Source organism: Homo sapiens, chromosome 5, assembly GCF_000001405.40.
Source record: "Homo sapiens chromosome 5, GRCh38.p14 Primary Assembly".
In the NCBI taxonomy this organism is placed as follows: domain Eukaryota; kingdom Metazoa; phylum Chordata; class Mammalia; order Primates; family Hominidae; genus Homo; species Homo sapiens.
In genome coordinates this window covers 128,846,942-128,867,212 of record NC_000005.10, presented here as the reverse complement: position 1 = coordinate 128,867,212, position 20,271 = coordinate 128,846,942, and the positions used below count along the sequence as shown (strand labels likewise).

Here is a 20,271-nt window from a genome sequence, read left to right as displayed (position 1 = left end):
ACAGCTTACATGGATGGTGGCAGGCAAAGAGAGAGAGAGCTTGTGCAGGGAAACTCCTGGGTTTTGTTTTGTTTTGTTTTTTTAAGGTGGAGTCTCACTTTGTCACCCAGGCTGGAGTGCATTGGCACAATCTTGGCTCACTGCAACCTCCATCTCTTGGGTTCAAGCGATATTCGTGCCTCTGAGTAGCTGAGATTACAGGCACCCACCACCACGCCTGGCTAATTTTTATGTTTTTAGTAGAGACAGAGTTTCACCACGTTGGCTAGGCTGGTCTCGAACTCCTGACTTCAGGTGATCCACCCGCCTCGGCCTCCCAAAGTGCAGTGATTACAGGCATAAGCCACTGCGCCCAGCTGGAAACTCCTGTTTTTAAAACCATTAGAACTCACGAGACTTATTTGCTATCACAAGAACAGCATGGGAAAGACCTGGCCCCATAATTCAGTTAGCTCCCACTGGGTCCCTCTCACAACACATGGGAATTCAAGATGAGATTTGGGTGGGGACACAGCAAAACCATTTCAACTTCCAAATTGCTTTTTAGAATAGGTATACCAGGTTATACTTTCACATGCAGCACACGAGCTTCCCACCTCTTCGCATTTTTTGCCAATACTAAATGCCATCTCCCCATCCAGTTTTTGCAATTACGAGGTGGGTATTGTATTATTTTCCATTGCTGCTATAACAAATTACCAGATAATTAGTGAGTTAAAATAAGTCAGATTTATTATCTTACTATTCTGGATGTCAGAAGTCCAAATCAGTCTGAATGGGCTAAGATGGAGGCGTCCACAGGGCTCCATTACTCCATGGAGGCTCTAGGGGTATATCTGTGTCTGTGCCTCTTCCAGTTTCTGCAGGCTGCCTGTATTCCTGGGGTCATGGGCCCTCCGTCCATTTTTAAAGCCAGCAACATATCACTTACAAATCTTCCTTTCACTCTAATCTTCCAGCTTCCCCTTATAAAGACCTTTGTAATTACACTGGGCTCGCTCAGATGATTTAGCATAACAGGATAATTGCTCCACCTGAAGATTCTTAATCACATTTGCAGAGTCCCTTTGCCAAGTAAGGTAGCATATTCACAGATTCCAAGGATTAACATGTATACATCTGAGGGGCTGTTATTCTGCCTACCATTATTCAGACAGGGGGGGATTATTCTGCCTACCACAGGTGTTACTTTTGAGAGAATCATAAAAAATATAAGGGTTATATTACATGTCAAATCTCAATGAGTTTTTTCCTTCACTCATACACTGCCTTGTCACAAGACACTCATTTGCAATATAACATTGCAAGAGCATGGAGAGAAAAGATTTATATAAAGATACCAATTCTTCAAACAATCGACAGACAGATAATGAAGCAGAAATGAACATACCTTCACAAAGCTTTGAAGATACAAATTTAACTGAGAAAACCCTTATTTGTTGAGTATTCATATTCAGTGTCATGAAACAGACTTATAAAATGTGCAAGTATTACACAAATAAAATTGTAAATTGGCTATGTTTCCTCTTTGAAAATGAAATTATTCCCCTGAATTTGTATGCAGAACTTTATATTATTCCCTATGTTAAGGGTGCAGGTCAGAATCGGAGAAAGAAAATAGCCTAGAACATCAGTTTTCCGTTTTTTTTCTTGTGAGCAGTGGAAGCCTTCTTCAAACAAACTCAAAAATTAGTCATCGAAGTGTAACAAGCTTAAAAACCAAGCTCTCTGGTTGAAATAAAAGGTAGAGACCCAAACAACCTCATTTCTCTTTGCAGATGCCCTGGTGACACCTCTGGAGCATCTTAGGCTTTGAGCATTACTCATTGACTAGTTATGCTGAGCTGGTATATAGGGCAAACTCCCAAAACCATGTGAAATATAGAAACTTTTATGTACGTCATGAAATTATTTGGGAAGAAGAAAGCTTATCAGGATTTGTCAGTGAGAGAGGAGCATCCTATTTACAACAGAGAATCTGGAAGAGATGCCATATAAAATATTAACCAAAATACAAAGGTCAATTTTCAAGTAAGGGGACATGTGCAACTAGCAACACCTTGATTACTGGCTTATTTGGGTATAGCAGGTGCATTTGGAGGGGAAGCTCCATGTTGCTGTTTTAGATAATATGTTGTCAGATGGAGCAATTAGAAATATTAAATACAAAGTTCTAATGAATGTGTATGTATGGTATAGCCAATTAGATTACCAGCAAATGGAGATACACGCTATCTCTGACATTTGAATCACTTTCCAGCCTCTTGTTGATAATGCTCTAAGCTGTCATCCCCTACTCTCTAAATCTTCCCTTCCATCTCATTGTTCCTATGGTTTACTCATCACCATTCAGTCCCAACAAACTCATGCCGAAATGCATGCTGTGCCATACACCACATCTCTATAACCTGTCCAGTGTCCCCCATCCAATATGAGTTCAAAATTATGTTTTATGGTCATTTCTCTCAAGGCTGTTTTTAATATCCACGAAGCCTCAACATTTGTATGGTCTTCTTAATTTAATCTCCTGGTTCTCAGTTGGTGAAAATGACAAGGATTTGGCAACATTTTCAATCCTTCCATTGAGTTGAAGAATTATTTTCTATTTTAAGCACTCAATTTAGAAACATTTCTTAGACAATTTAGCTTTAAAAAAAAAAACATTATTAACCCACACTCTCTTCTGTATTTGGTCATTGCCTCGTTTCTATCTGTAAAGGGGGTTCTGTGTCCAAAAAAAAAAAAAGGAAAAAAAACACACAGTTTTTCAAATGTTGAAATTTAATCAATAAGCCTTGATTGTGAGTCGATTTGGTTTCACTTACCTTTAATGCTATAAAGTGACTCAAATCTTTTGGCTATAGTGGAACAATCCACATAATTGGCTGCTGATATGGAAATTAGAAGGTGAATTAGCCAGGTATAGCCATACAAACTGGATTAGAGAATAAAATGATTGAAAGATTGGCTTGAGAACACAGCAATACAGCCAAAGTTATCATTCATATGCAACAGATTGGATCTGTAATCTGGAACTACAAGTTGGTGGTTTGGCTGCTAGAAGAAGCTCACAAGATGTAAGAATGCTCATTTAACCCTTCCTTTCACAACTCAGGAAGCTAGTATTTACAGTCTAGGCAAAAAAAATAAGAATATGATGAACAGATAGCCTGAACTCTGATTCCATGTGAACAACCCCAGCTGAACTGGAAGCTCTGCAGCCATATCTACCGAAAAGTTAAAAGCCATCCTCTTGAATGACATTAGGTAGACCTTTTAATATTTTATTTTATCCTAGAAATTAATAAAAATAAAATTCATATGTATTAGGGTCCCCAGAGAAACAGAACCAATTGTGTTTCTGTTTCACATGCATGTGCATGTGTATCCATCCATGCACATGCACAGATGGATGGATGGATAGATGATAGATAGATAGATAGATAGATAGATAGATAGATAGATAGATACATAGTTAATTTTAAGAAATTGACTCACTAGATAGATAGATACATAGTTAATTTTATGAAATTGACTCACTAGATAGATAGATAGATAGATAGATAGATAGATAGATAGATAGATAGATAGATGATAGATAGATTATTTTAAGAAATTGACTCACATAATTATGGGAGCTGGCAAGCTCAAATTTGCAGAGCATACTAGCAGGCTGGAGACCCACAGAAGAGTTGTTGTTGCAAACTGGGTCCAAAAGCAGTCTGAAGGCAGAATTCCTTCTTTCTAGGGGGCACTTCAGCCTTTTCTCTTAAGGCCTTCATTAGACTGGATGAGGCCCACCCACATTATAGCAGGTAAACAGCTTTACTCTGTCTACTAATCTAAATGTTAATTTCATCTTAAAAAATGTCTTCACAGCAACATCTAGACTGATGTTTAACTACACATCTGGGCACTGTAACCTAGACAAGTTGACACATAAAATTAACCAACACAGCATAGTAACCTTTATTCTAGTTTCTTTGTTTATTCATTCAAAAATATTTGCTGAGCCCCTACCCTGTGCTAGCTACTCCCTTAAACGTTCATGATGCAGACAGGAACAAGAGCGACTGGGTCCTTACTCTCATAGGGCTCACAGCCTAGCCAGGAATTTGAACAAGGAAAAACACAACAGGACATCGAATGAGGTTTTGCCTACTGTTTAGGAATTTTGGTTGATGCCAGAGAAAAATAGGAGATAATTATCCTGAGAGTCTAAAGAAAATTGCTTGGGTTTTACACATGTAAGTAAGCACATAATATATGGTATACGAAATCCTGTACTTCAAAGTCAACTAATAGACTCAAATGTCTCAGAATGGCCTAAATTTTTCAGAATGTTTATACAGCTTGGCTTTCAAGGAATAAAATTTTTATCAAGATATTTCTATCTAAATAAGTCAAATATTCAAACTAGCTATACATGTCTAGGTACAGCATTATCGGTTTAGCTAAGTTTCTGCCAACATTCCGGGAAGCCGAATAATGTTTTACAGGACATTGCTTGTCCTAAATAGACAATGGCCAAAATACAATCATTCCATTTGGATCTAATGTGTTTTTCTGTGGAGACATAGTGGGGCCCAAGAGCCTAAGTGGGATAATGATCTCATAAAAAAATGTCTAGGCAGCCATTCTGCGGGTATTCTCATTGAGTCCACTCTGTCTTCTATGTGGAATATGCCTCAGTGATGTACCAATCAGCTCTCCAAAAGGGAGGCAGATTTCTCAGGAATGAAAATTAATCCAAGTTATTAAGATACTTGAGGTTAAGGAAACCAGCTCTGAATTCAAACTGCTTAGGTATAAAATAAGACTTATGAGCTATGTGACCTCAGGCACGTGGTTTCACTCCTCTGTAATTCAGTTTGCTGATTCATAAATTAGAGACAGTATGGTGCCTATCTCATTGGTTTATTATGAGTATGCAAAATAATGTATGCTAAAATGCAGATGTATTATTGTCATCTGTTGTCCTTTAAAACATATTTAGTGGAGCAATAATTCCCTGGCTTATAACTCTTTTTCTGAAAGGACTCCATTTTTTAAAAATGGTTTGATCACTTTAAGTCCCAAACAGGTTTCAATTATGATATTAGGATATATAGTCCCAAATAAAGTTATCAAAACTGTGCTTGACCTGTGATCAAATCCTCTCCTCTGCCCCAAATAGGAGTGGCACCTCTCTCTTTCTTCCATCTAGGATTTCTCATCCCTCAACATGCTTGCTCTGCTTTCTGACCTTTTTGGGGTCCATCCTCAGAGGAGAGAGAGGTAGAAAAAATGGGAAGTCTTACATTGTGAGTGAAGTTGTCATCTACATCATTGGAGCTCACTGCCACTGGATACCAGATGTATAATTGCTGTCACTATCACCAGATCAGGTGTTTCTAGGTTGAAGGCCAAAGTAGACTTCTTGAAATGATGCAAACTATTTTTCTCCTATATGAATATATGTGTTTTTAGAGAGACCTGCATTCATAATTTTCACTCATTCCCAGAAAACAAAACAAAACAAAATACTGCTCTACATAGAAACAATGCCATTCTAGGAAAGCCAGTCTCACTGTCCCTCCTTGTCCCTGTGGTAAAGGGCAATTCAAGAGAAGGGGAGGATTTCAAGGGAGATACCGGTCTTCTTAATAATAAGGCACATAAGAAAAGTAAGGAGAGGCCGGGCGCGGTGGCTCACGCCTGTAGTCCCAGCACTTTGGGAGGCCGAGGCGGGCAGATGACGAGGTCAGGAGATCGAGACTATCCTGGCTAACACGGTGAAACCCCGCCTCTACTAAAAATACAAAAAATTGGCCGGGCGTGGTGGCGGGCACCTGTAGTCCCAGCCACTGGGAGGCTGAGGTAGGAGAATGGCGTGAACCCAGGAGGCGGAGCTTGCGGTGAGCTGAGATAGCGCCCTGCACTCCGGCCTGGGCAAAAGAGCGAGATTCCGTCTCAAAAAAAAAAAAAAAAAAAAGAAAAGAAAAGAAAAGTAAGGCGATGTGAATGCTTCCATAGCCTTAATTTGTGGAACGGATTATAGAGTTTACAAATATCTAACTCACAGAGTGCTAATAGAAGCAGAAATAATACAACTAATAAAATAGTTATGCATTGAGCACCTCCTTTGTAGCTGGTACTAAATGTTTCATGTGTGTGCTAAAGAAATCTAGCAAATAGTAGGTACTTCATAAGTAGTAATTCCTGGCTCTCCTTTTCTCTTTCATTCTCCCCTGCTTCTTCCTGCCATTCTAGGATCATTCATTTATCTGACTGACTGTACTCAGTTTCCTAAGGTCTTCCTTCCAGTTTTCTCCCAAAGATTTCTATAAGGTTGTTAAGCAAGAATTCATCAATGAGAAAACTCGTTACTTGCCCAAACATATTTGAAATCTCAAGCAAGAGTTGGATGTTAACGAGTAAAAGTAATTCATTTTAGATACCTCTACTTCTCAGGATTCCTTTTCTTTTTATTTACTTTTTTCCTGTAAGAAACAAACAAACAAACAAACTATTTTCACTAGCATTCCTATACACCAAGAAAAGTCAAGCTGAGAGCCAAATCAGGAATGTAATCCCATTTACAATTGCCACCCAAAGAATAAAATACCTAGGAATACAACTAACCAGGGAGGTGACAAATCTCTACAAGAAGAACTACAAAACATTGCTCAAAGAAATCAGAGATGATACAAAGAAACGGGAAAACATTCCATGCTCATGGATAGGAAGAATCAATATTGTCAAAATGGCCATACTGCCCAAAGCAATTTATAGATTCAATGCTATTCCTATTAAACTACCAAAGACATTCTTCAGAGAACTAGAAAAAACTATTGTAAAATTCATATGGAATTAAAAAAAGAGCAATCCTAAGAAAAAAGAATAAAGCTGAAGGCAACATGCTACCCAACACCAAACTATACCACAGGGCTACAGTAACCAAAACAGCATGGTACTTGATATGGTTTGGCTGTGTCCCCAGCCAAATCTCATCTTGAATAACTCCCACAATTCTCACATGTCATGGGAGGAACCCAGTGGGAAGTGATTTAATTATGGGGATGGGTCTTTCTTGTGCTGTTCTCATGGTAGTGAATGAGTCTCACACAATCTGATGGTTTTAAAAACGGGAGTTTCCCTGAACAAGTTCTCTTCTCTTGTCTGCCGCCATGTGAGATATGCCTTTCACCTTCTGCCATGATTGTGAGAACTCCCCAGCCAAATGGAACTGTGAGTCCAATAGACCTCTTTCTTTTGTAAATTGCCCAGTGTCAGGTATGTCTTTATCAGCAGCATGAAAATGGACTAATACAGTTCTGGTACAAAAACAGACACAGAGACCAATAGAACACAATAAAGAGATTTGAAATAAGGCCACACACCAACAACAAATTGATCTTCCACAAAAATTAATCTTCCACAAAGTCAACAAAAACAAGCAATAGAGAAAGGACTCCCTACTCAATAAATGCTCCTGGGATAACTGGCTAGCCATATGCAGAAGATTGAAACTGTACCCCTTCCTTACACCATATACAAAAATTAACTCAAGATGGATTAAAGACTTAAATGTAAAACCCAAAACTATAAAAACCCTTGAAGATAACCTAAGAAATACCATTCTGGACACAGGAATGGGCAAAGATTTCATGACAAAAATGCCAAAAGCAATTTCAACAAAAGCAAAAATTGACAAATGGGACCTAACTAAACAAAAGATCTTTTATGCAGCAAAAGAAACTATCAACAGAGTAAACAGACAACCTACAGAATGGGAGAAAATATTTGCAAACTATGCATCTGTCAAAGGTTTAATACCCAGAATCCATAAGGAACTTACATTTACAAGAGAAAAAAAAACCTTATCAAAATGTGGGCAAAGGACATTAATAGACACTTGTCAAAAGACATACTTGCAGCCAAAAAGCATATGAAAAAAAGCTCAATATCATTGAGCCCCAGATAGGAGGGGCACCTCTCTCTTTCTTACACCTAGGATTTGCAATGCAAATTAAAGAAATGCAAATTAAAACCACAGTGAGTTACTCTCTCACACAAGCCAGAATGGCTATTATTAAAATGTCAAAAAATAAGAGATGCAGGCGAGATTGTGGAGAAAAAGAAATGCTTATACACTGTTGATGGGAGTGTAAATTAGTTCAGCTATTATGGAAAACAGTGTGGTGATTCCTCAAAGATCTAAAAATAAAACTACCATTCAACCTAGCAATCCCATACTGGGTATATACCCAAATGAATAAAATTGTTCTATCATAAAGACACATGCATCCATATGTTCATTGCAGCACTATTTACAATAACAAAGATATGGGATCAACCTAAATGCCTATCAATGCTGAACTGGATAAAGAAAATGTGGTACACATACACTATGGAATACTATGCAGCCATAAAAAAGAATGAGATCATGTCCTTTGCAGGGACATGGATAGAGCTAGAGGCCATTATCCTTAGCCAACTAATGAAGGAACAGAAAACCAAATACTGCATGTTCTCACTTTTAAGTGGGAGCTAAGTCATGAGAACACATGGACATATAGAAGGGAACAACACACACTGGGCCCTATTGGAGGGTGGAGGGTGGGAGGAGGGAGAGGATCAGGAAAGATAATTAATGAGTACTAGGCTTAATACCTGAGTGAACAAATAATCTGTATAACAAACCCCATGACACAAGTTTACCTGTATAACAAACCTGAACATGTACTCCTGAACTTAAAATAAAAGCTAAAAAAAAAAATGATTTTAATAACCTCTAACATGTTTCTCCTCTTTTATCATAAAGATCATACAACAGTATTAACAATACTTGGAAGTTATGCAAATGTTACTTGCAACTGGTCCTCCCAAACAAAACATGTGTATTCATCTCCAGTAGTCATCCATAGATGTTTGTCTCCTTGTATCACTGTAATTAGAGCACATGTGTTTATCAGAACCATTTTCCTGGTCGCTCCATAGTCTTCATAATTATCCTTATACTGGCTGCCTGGTATCTCATGAGGTACATCATCTTTCCTTCCCTTACTGCTAGCTACTTTGATTCTTTAATTTTTATCCTGTTATAAAAATAAAATAAGGTTTTATGCTTCTTTTTAAAAATTAACATCTGGGCCAGGCACGGTGGCTCATGCCTGTATCCCAGCACTTTGGGAGGCCGAGGTGGGTGGATCACCTGAGGTCAGGAGTTTGAGACCAGCCTGGCCAACATGGAGAAACCCCGTCTCTACTAAAAATACAAAATTAGCTGGGCACGGTGGCGCATGCCTGTAATCTCAGCTACTTGGGAGGCTGAGGCAGGAGAATCGCTTGAACCTGGAGGCTGAGGTTGCAATGAGCCGAGATCACGCTATTGCACACCAGCCTGGGCAACAAGAGCAAAACTTTGTCTCAAAAAAAAAAAAAAGAGTTAACGTCTGTTAGATTGGATTCCCAGAAATGGCTTTACTGGAAACTTATTATTTTCTCTATGGCATCATCAGAAGTCTTAAGTTGCCTAATATTATGGTCTACCTTCAGTAGATAGGTAAATCTGCTGAGTTTACCGAGCAAAATTTATCAAACCTGTACCACCAGGTCTCACTCTATTTTAAGACTGATGACCCCATGAAACAACCGAGAGCCATATTGGGACTGCTGAAGAGGCTGCAGAAAGTGGCCACTTCTAATTTGAGAGACTCTAAAAAATATTGATTAGCTTCTCTCTTAATCTTAGAGGTGAGGATGTGTGAAGGAAGCAAGGACGACAGGAGGCAGATAGAGGTGGACAGCAGTCTTATCTGTCTTTCCTCCCTGGCTCAGGCTTCATGGAAAGTTTTTTAAAGGAACTGAAAGTGTGTGTGTCTTAGGGAAAATATCCATCTCATGTTTATAAAAGATCACTCTGGTAAGCTCTTGGCAAGCCTGAAGGATCATAGCTGTCATCTTTGCCTATTCTTCATAGTCTGGAGAAAATGAATGATGATAATGTTACTCATCTACAAAAGTTCAGTTTTCTCCATAAACACAGCTGTGTTGTGAATTAAGCAAAGTCAATATGTGAAAACTTAGATTGACTGAAAAATAAACTGAAGATGATTATTTGTACCATAAAAGAATTCTGTACCATAAAAAAGAGTCATCATGGAATTATTTTGAATTGTGAGGTCCATTAATGATCCTGCAATGCAATTCTGTTTATTAAAGATGTGATTAGCAGGCAACTTTCTAAGGCCTCATCAGCTGCATAGAGAAAGGTATAATCACACTGACAGTTCTACCTTCTCTTTTGAGAAGGATTTTGTTTATTTTTCCAAAGACAAATCAGTTTTCTGTGATTATTTTATCATTGAGATATGAACTTATATATAAACTAATTTCCCCTTAAATTGACTTTAGAATAGGAAAACAAGTTCTATTATTTCAAGGCTAGTTAAAATACTTTTGCCTAAATGACCACTTTATTCTAGAAAAAAATAATGGAGACATTAGTAAGGATATGGTTTTTAATCACATCATCTGTTTCCAACATAGCCTTGAATCTAAAGGATTAATGTACACTCCACCTTGGAATGGAGAATAGTGGTATTAAAAGTGGACTCTAGGGTCAGAAAGACTTGAAGGATTTCGCCACTTTACAGTATATGTTATATTTCATCTCTCAGAAGTCAGCTTATATATATGTAATTATGCTCCAGACTAATAAGTGAATTTAAAGCTAGCAAAAGTCAGGAAATGGAAGCAGGTAATGAGCAGTGAAAGGGAATATAGGAACATTCACATCCCCACTGCACAATGTAGGAGGAGTTATCAACAGATATTGTTAAACATGGCTTGGACAAAAGGAATGATCATTTAAAGTTCCAAAGGGTTAAAGAAAAACAGAATAGCTAAAAATAATAGTGTACTTATCAAAAATTAGAAGTAAAAGAGAGAAATGGGGGTTTTAACATAAATGTACTAAGTCCTTATCTCCTATAGCAAAGGAGTCCTCAAGATAAAATGTCTACATTTGTAAAATCAAGAAGAAATAGCATCATGAAGTAGCATCACAAGTCAACTTGCTAATGAAACCACTCAAATAACTGAAACAGAGGTAGCTAAAAGGGATTCTTTTGAGAAGCAGAAATGGGGCAAGAAAGGATGGTGTGCACCACAGTGGTTTTCAACAACTTTCAGCTCTTTACTTCTGGACTTACAAAAAAATCATGTATGTGTTTTTATTTGATTTTAACAAAAACATTGCATGTATACACACACACACACACACACACACACACACAGTCACACCAGAACCTTCAACGACTCAGATCTTGACCAAAAAAATGCAAACTTCTTAGAATGATCACAGGGTTATCTATGGTCTAGAGATGGGTTACCTGCCTAATAATATCTTTCACCAGTTTCCATTGTCTGCCTGCGATCCAACCATATTGAGCAGCTCACACCTCCTCCAGACTTGTATTTTTCTCTTGTCCCTCAATATCCCTGCGTGGTCTTCTGCTTCTTATTTGTCCATTTGCTCTCCCATCCATTCCCCAACTTTTCCCAGCTCTCTTCAGTAGCACTGGGAGCTGACCCGTGCAAAACACATTCTTTAGACTCCTTTACTTGGGCACTGGGAGGCAGGGATGAAAAACTGGTATGCAGAAAGAAGACAGAAATCAGGGGATTTTCCCCTCATCTGTGCTACAGGTAGCTTCCCAGGCAATACTGCATGTTCTCTCTGGTTCCAGCTCCCATCTGGGCACACACTTTTATAGCTCTGTTCCCACATGGCAGCCCCAGATGCCCTTGCTCCTCACAGGTACAATCATCTCTTCTTTTTATCTCTCCAAGCTTAGGGAGCCTGAGTGGTTTCCTGGAGGTGCTAACCTCTGAATTTCTTCACCTTTTGCTGTGTGCCCTATCAACTCTTCCAGCACCTTTGCAGCTTTGTTATAAATCCCTCATCTTGAACTACACAGTGTGAGTTCCATTTCCCTGACTGGACCCAGACTGATAGAGCTGGTTAGCTTTATTTGCCCATGAAGACTAAGGTCTGGGGTCACCACCTGCAGGAAATCTCTTTGGTCTGGGTCAGTAGCCCTTCCTCTGCCACCTAGGGCCCTCTGTGATCAGCACTCTCAGTTTCACACTGCATTGTACTTGTTTCTGTGGTCTATCTCCCTAGAGGAATGTGGATTTCTCAAGAATAAAGACTGTTGTATTTGACTGTGTCTTTTGTATGGAACTCTACTGGGCTCAGTGAGCACCCGGTAAATATTTGTTGAATGATAATATTAGAAATATGGAAAATTTTCTTTTGAAATTGACAGGAGAGTTGCCAGTCCTTAGATGGAATCCTAAGGTATTTCTTATGAATGTCTTTTATAGTATTGTCTAAATAGAACTGCATCTTCCACCTACCAGTGCCTTTCACCTGTTTTCCACAACGACACCCAGTAAAATACACACTTTATACAGAGACTCAGTATTAATAGCAGTATTTTAAATTAAGCTTTTGGTTCGATAATATGTACATATACACACAAGATCTGGTGTTTTCTACCTTAGTCTTCTAAACTGAGTTCTGTCCTATTTTGTTTAAGAAATTACTAGTTGCAGCCCACTAAATCAATTTCATGACAATCTAATGGTTCACAAATTGTTAGTTGGAAAGTCTGCCTTAGGTAGTAAAGATGGATTTTACTAACACAGGTCTTCAATGATGCAGAAAAATTGTCTCTTCTATTTTTTTAAATTTGTGCCCTCAAATATATTACAGATGCCTGAAATCCCACTGCACAGTTTTAGTGCCATATGTTAAAGATTAAACACCTAACAATGATAATAATAATAACAATTACAATGCTCCTTGAAAGTTGTAACACTATAAGATGTTATCAGACACACTTGAATATATATATAAATGAGTTTTAGATATTTCTCTAAGGGTAAGATTTGATGAATAGACAAGAGAAGAGTGCTGAACACCTGAAGAGAAAGGAGAAAGGTTTCCTAATTTGGATATATATACACAAAAAACTTTAAACACTTAGACTTAATACAGCTTCTCCACTTATACCTCAAGCATTTGATTGAAGAGTTTATGTATGTTAAATTGAAATTTTAATCAACAGGAACTCATGTACCTATTGAGATACATACTTACAAGGCTGATTGTTAATCCATTGAATTCTGTCTTGCAAAAAGTCTGAAAATGTTCATAATCTTGACTTGGAAGTTGCACAAAACAGGCTGCAAAGAAATCGAAATATTATGGTTTCACTGATCAAATATTTTGGACCAGGCTCACTATCAGAATATCCTCAGTAGATTTACATTGCCCCGATCCATTAATCTTTCCTAGTGTACAGATAATTTCTTTTCTTATTAGATATTCATGCAAAGATGCAAAATATTTTTCCCTAGATAAGTAACAAAAGACCATCACTGAGCCATCTGTGAACAATTTCACATCTGAAGTGTATAATCAAGGTCGGGAACAAAAATACATAATGAATGGTTCAAGTCAAAGTATACATCCTGAACAAAGAGGTAGATGTGATCCAAAGCAAAAGAAATGTTGCATTCTTTCCTTCTGCTTCAGTTTTTAGAGACTGTCAACTTACGGTTTGATTGATTGGGGTGGGGAAAGCAGGTGAGAACTTTCACATACAATTATTTTATTTGTACATTTTTAAAAAATAGGTATATGTACTTCTATCAAGCTATTGTTTGGTATTATTAAAGGACCTTGTATGTGGTCTATAGCAGAGCAGGAAAAATAAATTTATTGGGCCAGACAAAACAATGCTAGAGAAACCTGAGTTTTGGTCTAGCCTGCATATGTAACATCCCTCATATTTGCTGGAGGGTAGTCTATTTAAAGAGAACAGAGTAGAGAGAAAGGAATAGTGACAAGAATGAAAGAGAAAGGGAGATCACCATGAACATCTATTTATAGGGTTAAGTGTCTTTCTTTGGGGAATTTAGATCTTACCAAAAATATGTAGCATTATATTATGAACCAGGTCCTATTTAGAGCCTAGGTTTCTTGCTGATTGGTAATTTGTTCTTAAAATGGATACTATTATGGGTTGAATTGTGTTCCCTAAAACCTCATATGTTGAAGTCATAACCCCCAGTACCTCTGAATGTTACCTCATTTGGAAATAGGGTAATCGTAGACATAATCAGTTAAGTTAAAGTGAGATTATACTGGAGTAGGGTGGGCTTCTAATCCAATATGATTGTTATCCTAATCAAAAGGGGAAATTTAGACACAGAAACAGACATGTACAGAGGAGAGATGATGTGAAGAGCACAGGAAGAAAATGGCCATCTACAAGTTAATAAGAGAGATCTGGAACAGATCCTTTTTACACAGTCTCCGTAAGGAACCAACACTACCGACAACTTGATTTCGAACTTCTAGCCTCCAGAACTGCAAGACAATGATTTTCTGTTGTTGAAGCTACCAGTTTTCTGTACTTTTAAAAAATTTTCTTTTTTAATTTTTACAATTTTTATGGGTACATAGTAGGTGTGTATATTTATGGGGCACATGAGATGTTTTGATACAAGCATGCAATGTGAAGTAAGCGCATAACGGAGAATGGGGTATCTATCCCCTCGAGCATTTATCCTTTGAGTTACAAACAATCCAATTACACTCTGTAAGTTATTTTAAAATATACGCTTTAGTTATTATTGACTATAGTCACCCAATTGTGCTATCAAGTAGTAGGTCTTATTCATTTTTTCTATTTTTTTGTACCAATTAACCATCCCAACCTCCCTCCCTCCAATCCCCCACTATCCTTCCCCACCTCTGGTAACCATACTTCTACTCTCTATGTCCATGACATCAGTTGTTTTGATTTTTAGATCCCACAAATAAGTGAGAACATGTACTATTTGTCTTTCTGTGTCTGACTTATTTCACTTAACATAATGATCTCTAGTTGCATCCATGTTGTTGCAAATGACTGGATCTCATTCTTTTTTATGCCTGAATAGTACTCCATGGTGTGTTAAGTACCACCTTTTTTTATCCGTTCATCTGTTGATGGACACTTAGGTTGCTTCCAAATCTTAACTATTGTGAACAGTGCTGCAACAAGCATAGGAGTTCAGCTATCTCTTAGATATACTGATTTCCTTTCTTTTGGGTATATACCCAGCTGTGGGATTGCTGGATCACATGATAGTTCAACTTTTAGTTTTTTGAGGAACCTCCAAACTGTTTTCCATAGTGGTTGTACTAATTTAGATTCCTACCAATTGTGTATAAGGGTTCCCTTTTCTCCACATCCTTGCCAGCATGAGTTATTGCCTGTCTTTTGGATATAAGCCATTTTAACTGGGGTGAGATGATATCTCATTGTACTTTTGATATGCATTTCTCTGATGATCATTGATGCTGAGAACTTTTTTACATGCCTGTTTGCCATATGTATGTCTTTTTTTTTTTTTTTTTTTGAGAAATGGCTATTCAAATCTTCTGACCATTTTTTGATTGGATTATTAGACTTTTTCCTATAGAGTTGTTTGAGTTCATTATATATTCTGGTTATTAATCCCTTGTCAGATGGGTAGTTTGTAAATATTTTCTCCCATTCTGTGGGTTATCTCTTCACTTTGTTCATTGTTTCCTTTGCTGTGCAGAAGATTTTTAACTTGGTGTAATCCCATTTGTCCATTTTTGCTTTGGTTGTCTGTGCTTGTGGGTTAATGCTCAAGAAAATCTTTCCTCAGACTAATGTCCTGGAGATTTTTCCCCAATGTTTTCTTTTAGTTGCTTTGTAGTTTGAGGTCTTAGATTTAAGTCTTTAACCCATTTTGATTTGATTTTTGTATATGGTGAAAGATAGGGGTCTAGTTTCATTCTTCCGCATATGGATATCCACTTTTCTCAGCACCATTTATTGAAGACACTGTGTTTTCCCCAGTGTATGTTCTTGGCACCTTTGTGAAAAATGAGTTTGCTGTAGGTGTGTGGATTTGTTTCTGGGTTCTCTATTCTGTTGCATTGGTCTATGTGTCTTTTTTTTATGCCAGTATCATGCTGTCTTGTTTACTATAGCTCTGTAGTATAATTTGAAGTCAGGCAATATGATTCCTCCAGTTTTGTTCTTTTTTCTGGGGATAGCTTTGGCTACTCTGAGTCTTTTGTGGTTCCATATAAACTTTTTTGCTATTTGTGTGAAGAATATCATTGGTATTTTGATAGGGATTGAATTGAATTTGTAGATTGCTTTGGGTAATATGGACATTTTAACAATATCAATTCTTCCAATCCATGAACATGGAATATTTTTCTATTTTTTGTGTGTCCTATTCAATTTCTTTCATCAGTGTTCTATCGTTTCCATTGTAGAGATCTTTCACTTCCTAGATTAATTTCATTCATAGATATTTTATTTTATGTATGACTATTTTTTATTTCTTTTTCACATTGTTCAGTGTTGGCTTATAAAAATGCTACTAAGTTTTGTATGTTGATTTTGTACCCTGCAAATTTACTGATTTGTTTATCAGTTCTAATAGTTTTCCTGTGGAGTCTTTAAGTTTTTCCAAATATGAGATCATATCATCTGCAAACAAGGATAATTTGACTTTGTTATCTCCAATTTGGATGCCCTTTATATCTTTCTCTTGTCTGATTGCTCTAGGTAGGATTTTCAGTACTGTGTTGAATAATAGTGGTGACAGTGGGCCATCCTTGTTCTGTTCCAGATCTTAGAGGAAAGGCTTTCAGTTTGTCCTCATTCAATATGATACTAGCTGTGGATGGGTCATATATGGCTTTTATTATATTGAGGTATGTTTCTTCTATATTCAGTTTTTTTGAGGATTTTTATCATGAAGGATGGTGAATTTTATCAAATGATTTTTCAGCACCAATTGAAGTGATAATATGGTTTTTATTTTTCATTTTGTTGACATAATGTATCACATTGATTGATGTGCATATGTTGAACCATCCTTGCATTCCAGGGATAAATTCCACTTGGGCATGATGAATGATCTTTCTAATGTATTGTTGAATTTGTTTTGCTAGTACTTTGTTGAGGATTTTTGCATCAATAATTATCAGTGATACTGGCCTGTAGTTTTCTATTTTTGATATGTCTTTGTCTGGTTTTGGAATTAGGGTAATACTGGCCTTGTAGAATGACTTTGGAAGTATTCCCTCCTCATTTGTTTTTTGGAATAGTTTCAGTAGAATTGGTATTAAGTCATCTTTAAATTTTTGGTAAAATTCAGCCATGAAGCCATCAGGTCCAGGGTTTTTTTTACTAAGGAGACTTTTCATTATGGCTTTGATCTTGTTACTTGTTATTGGTCTGTTCAGGTTTTGGATTTCTTCCTGATTCAATCTTGGTAGGTTGTATGGATCTAGGAATTTGTCCATTTATTCTGGATTTTCTGATTTATTGGCATATAGTTGCTCATAGTAGCCACTAATGATCCTTTGAATTTCCACAGTATCACTTGTAATGTCTCTTTTTTTATTTCTGATTTCATTTATTTGGAGCTTCTGTCATTTTTTCTTAGTTAGTCTGGCTAAAGGTTGGTCAATTTTGTTCGTCTTTTCAAAAAACCAACTTTTTGTTTCATTGATCTTTTTTTTTTTTATTTCAATTTCAGTTATTTCTGCTCTGATCTTTACTATTTCATTTATTATCCTAATTTGTTTGGTTTGTTCTTTCTTTTCTTGTTCTTTAAGATGCATCATTAGATTGTTCATTTGAAGTTTTTTCTCTTTTTTGATGTAGGCACTTATAGCTATAAACTTCCCTTAGTACTTCTTTGGCTGTATCCCATAGATTTGGTATGTTGTGTTTCCATTATCATTTGCTTAAAGAAACTTTCTATTTCCTTGTTAATTTCTTCATTGACCCACTGGTCATTCAGGAACATATTGTTTAATTTCCGTAACTTTGTAAAGTTTCCAAAATTTTGCTTGTTACTAATTTCTAATTTTATTCTATTGTGGTCAGAGATAATGTTGGATATTATTTCAACGTTTTGAATGTCTTAAGACTTGTTTTGTAAACTAACATATGGTCCGTCCTTGAGAATGATCCATGTGCTGAAGAAAATAATGTGTATTCTGCAGGTCTTCAATGAAATTTTCTGTAAATATCTACTAGATCCATTTGGTCTATAGCGCAGATTAAATCTGATGTTTCTTTGTTTATTTTCTGTCTGGAAGATCTGTCCAAGGTTCAAAATGGGGTGTTGAAGTCTCCAACATCTATCTTATGGAGATACTGGAATCTCTCTCTAATAATATTTCCTTTATATATCTGGATGTTCCCATGGTGAGTGCATATATATAAATATATTTGTTTAAACTTGTTACATCCTCTTGCTGAATTGACCCCTTTATCATTATATAGAGACCTTCTTTGTCCCTTCTCATGGTGGTTGTCTTGAAATACATTTTGTCTGATATAAGTATACTGACTCCTGCTCTTTTTTGGCTTCATTGGCATGGAATATCTTTTTATGTCCCTTTATTTTCAGTCTATTAGTGTCTTTATAGGTGAAGTCTGCTTCTAATAGGCAACAGATCAATGGGTCTTGGTTTTTCACCCATTCAACCAGTCTATGTCATTTGATTGGAGAGTTTAGTCCATTTATATTCAATGTTATAATTGATGAGTAAGAACTTATTCCTGCCATTTTGTTATTTGTTTTCTGGTTGTCTTATCGTCTTCTCTTCCTTGTTTCTTTCCTTCCTGTCTTACTCTAGTGAAGGTGACTTCCTCTGGTGATATACTTTCATTAATTGCTTTTTATTTTTTGTGTATTCATTGTATTTTTTTTGTTTGAGGTTACCATGAGGCTTGCAAATACTATCTTATAATCCATTATTTTAACCTGATAACAACTTAACACTGTTGGGATAAACAAACAAAAAAGCAAAAAGAAAACTAACAAGAACTCTATGACTTAACTTTGTCCCTGTGCTTTTTAACTTTTTGTTGTTTCTATTTATATCTTATTGTACTGGCTATGTCTCAAAAAATTGTTGTAGTTGCTATTTTTGATTGGTTCATCATTAGTCTTTCTACTTAGGATAAGAGTAGTTTACACACTAAAGTTACAGTGTTATAATATTCTGTTTTTCTGTGTATTTACTATTTACCAGTGAGTTTCGCACTTTCAGGTGATTATTTATTGCTCATTAATGTTCTTTTCTTTCTGATTGAAGTAATCTCCTTAACATTTCTTGTACGACAGGCCTGGCATTGATGAAATCTCTCAGCTTTTGTTTGTCTGGGAAAGTCTTAATCAAGGATAAGACTTCATATTTTAAGAATATTTTTACCAGTTATACCATTCTAGGGTAAAAGTTATTTTTTTTTCAGCATTAAATATGCCATATCACTCTCTTTCTGGCCTGTACGGTTTTCACTAAAAAGTCTCCTGCCAGATGCTTTGGCTCTCCATTATACATTACTTGTTTATTTTCTCTTCCTACTTTTAGGATTTTTTCTTTATCCTTGACCTTTGGGAGTTTGATTATTAAATGCCTTGCAGTAGTCTTTTTGGGTTACATCCACTTGGTCTTCTACAACTTTCTTGTATTTGGATATTGATATCTTTCTTTAGATTTTAGAAGCTCTCTATTATTATCCCTTTGAATAATTTTTCTACCCCTAACTCTTTCTCTGCCTCCTTTTTGAGGCCAGTAACTCTTAGATTTGCGCTTTTGAGGCTATTTTCCAGATCCCGTAGGTGTGCTTTGTTTTGATTTTTTATTCTTTTTTCTTCCATCTCCTCTGGCTGTGTATTTTCAAATAGCCTGTCTTCAAGTTCGCTAATTCTTTCTTCTACTTGATCAATTCTGCTGTAAAGAACTCTGATGCATTCTTCAGTAAGCCAATTGCATTTTTCAGCTCCAGAATTTTTAATTCTTTATAATTATTTTAATGTCTTTGTTAAACTTATCTGATAGAGTTCTGAATTCCTTCTCTAGGTTATCTTGAATTTCTTTGAGTTTCCTCAAAACAGCTGTTTTGAATTATGTGACTTAAATGTCACATAACTCTGTTTCTCCAGGATTGGTCCCTAATGCATTATTTAGTTCATTTGGTGAGGCCATGTTTTCCTGGATGGCTTTGATGCTAGCAGATGTTCTTCAGTGTCTGGGCATAGAAGAGTTAGGCATTTATTGTAGTCTTCACTGTCAGGGCTGATTTGTAGCTGTCCTTCTTAGGGAGACTTTCTAGATATTCAGAAGGACTCGAGTGTTATAATCTAAGCTTTATC

At 36.6% G+C, this 20,271-nt stretch overlaps 1 long non-coding RNA gene across 1 annotated transcript in view; it reads right to left on the bottom strand.

Annotated features, from left to right (window-relative positions):
• Window positions 1-20,271, bottom strand: part of LOC105379168 (uncharacterized) — a 273,909-nt gene that overhangs the window by 68,553 nt on the left and 185,085 nt on the right. The window contains exon 6 of the long non-coding RNA XR_001742460.1: window positions 13,154-13,239. This is a non-coding gene — a long non-coding RNA (uncharacterized LOC105379168). The remainder of the gene's footprint in view (window positions 1-13,153; window positions 13,240-20,271) is intronic.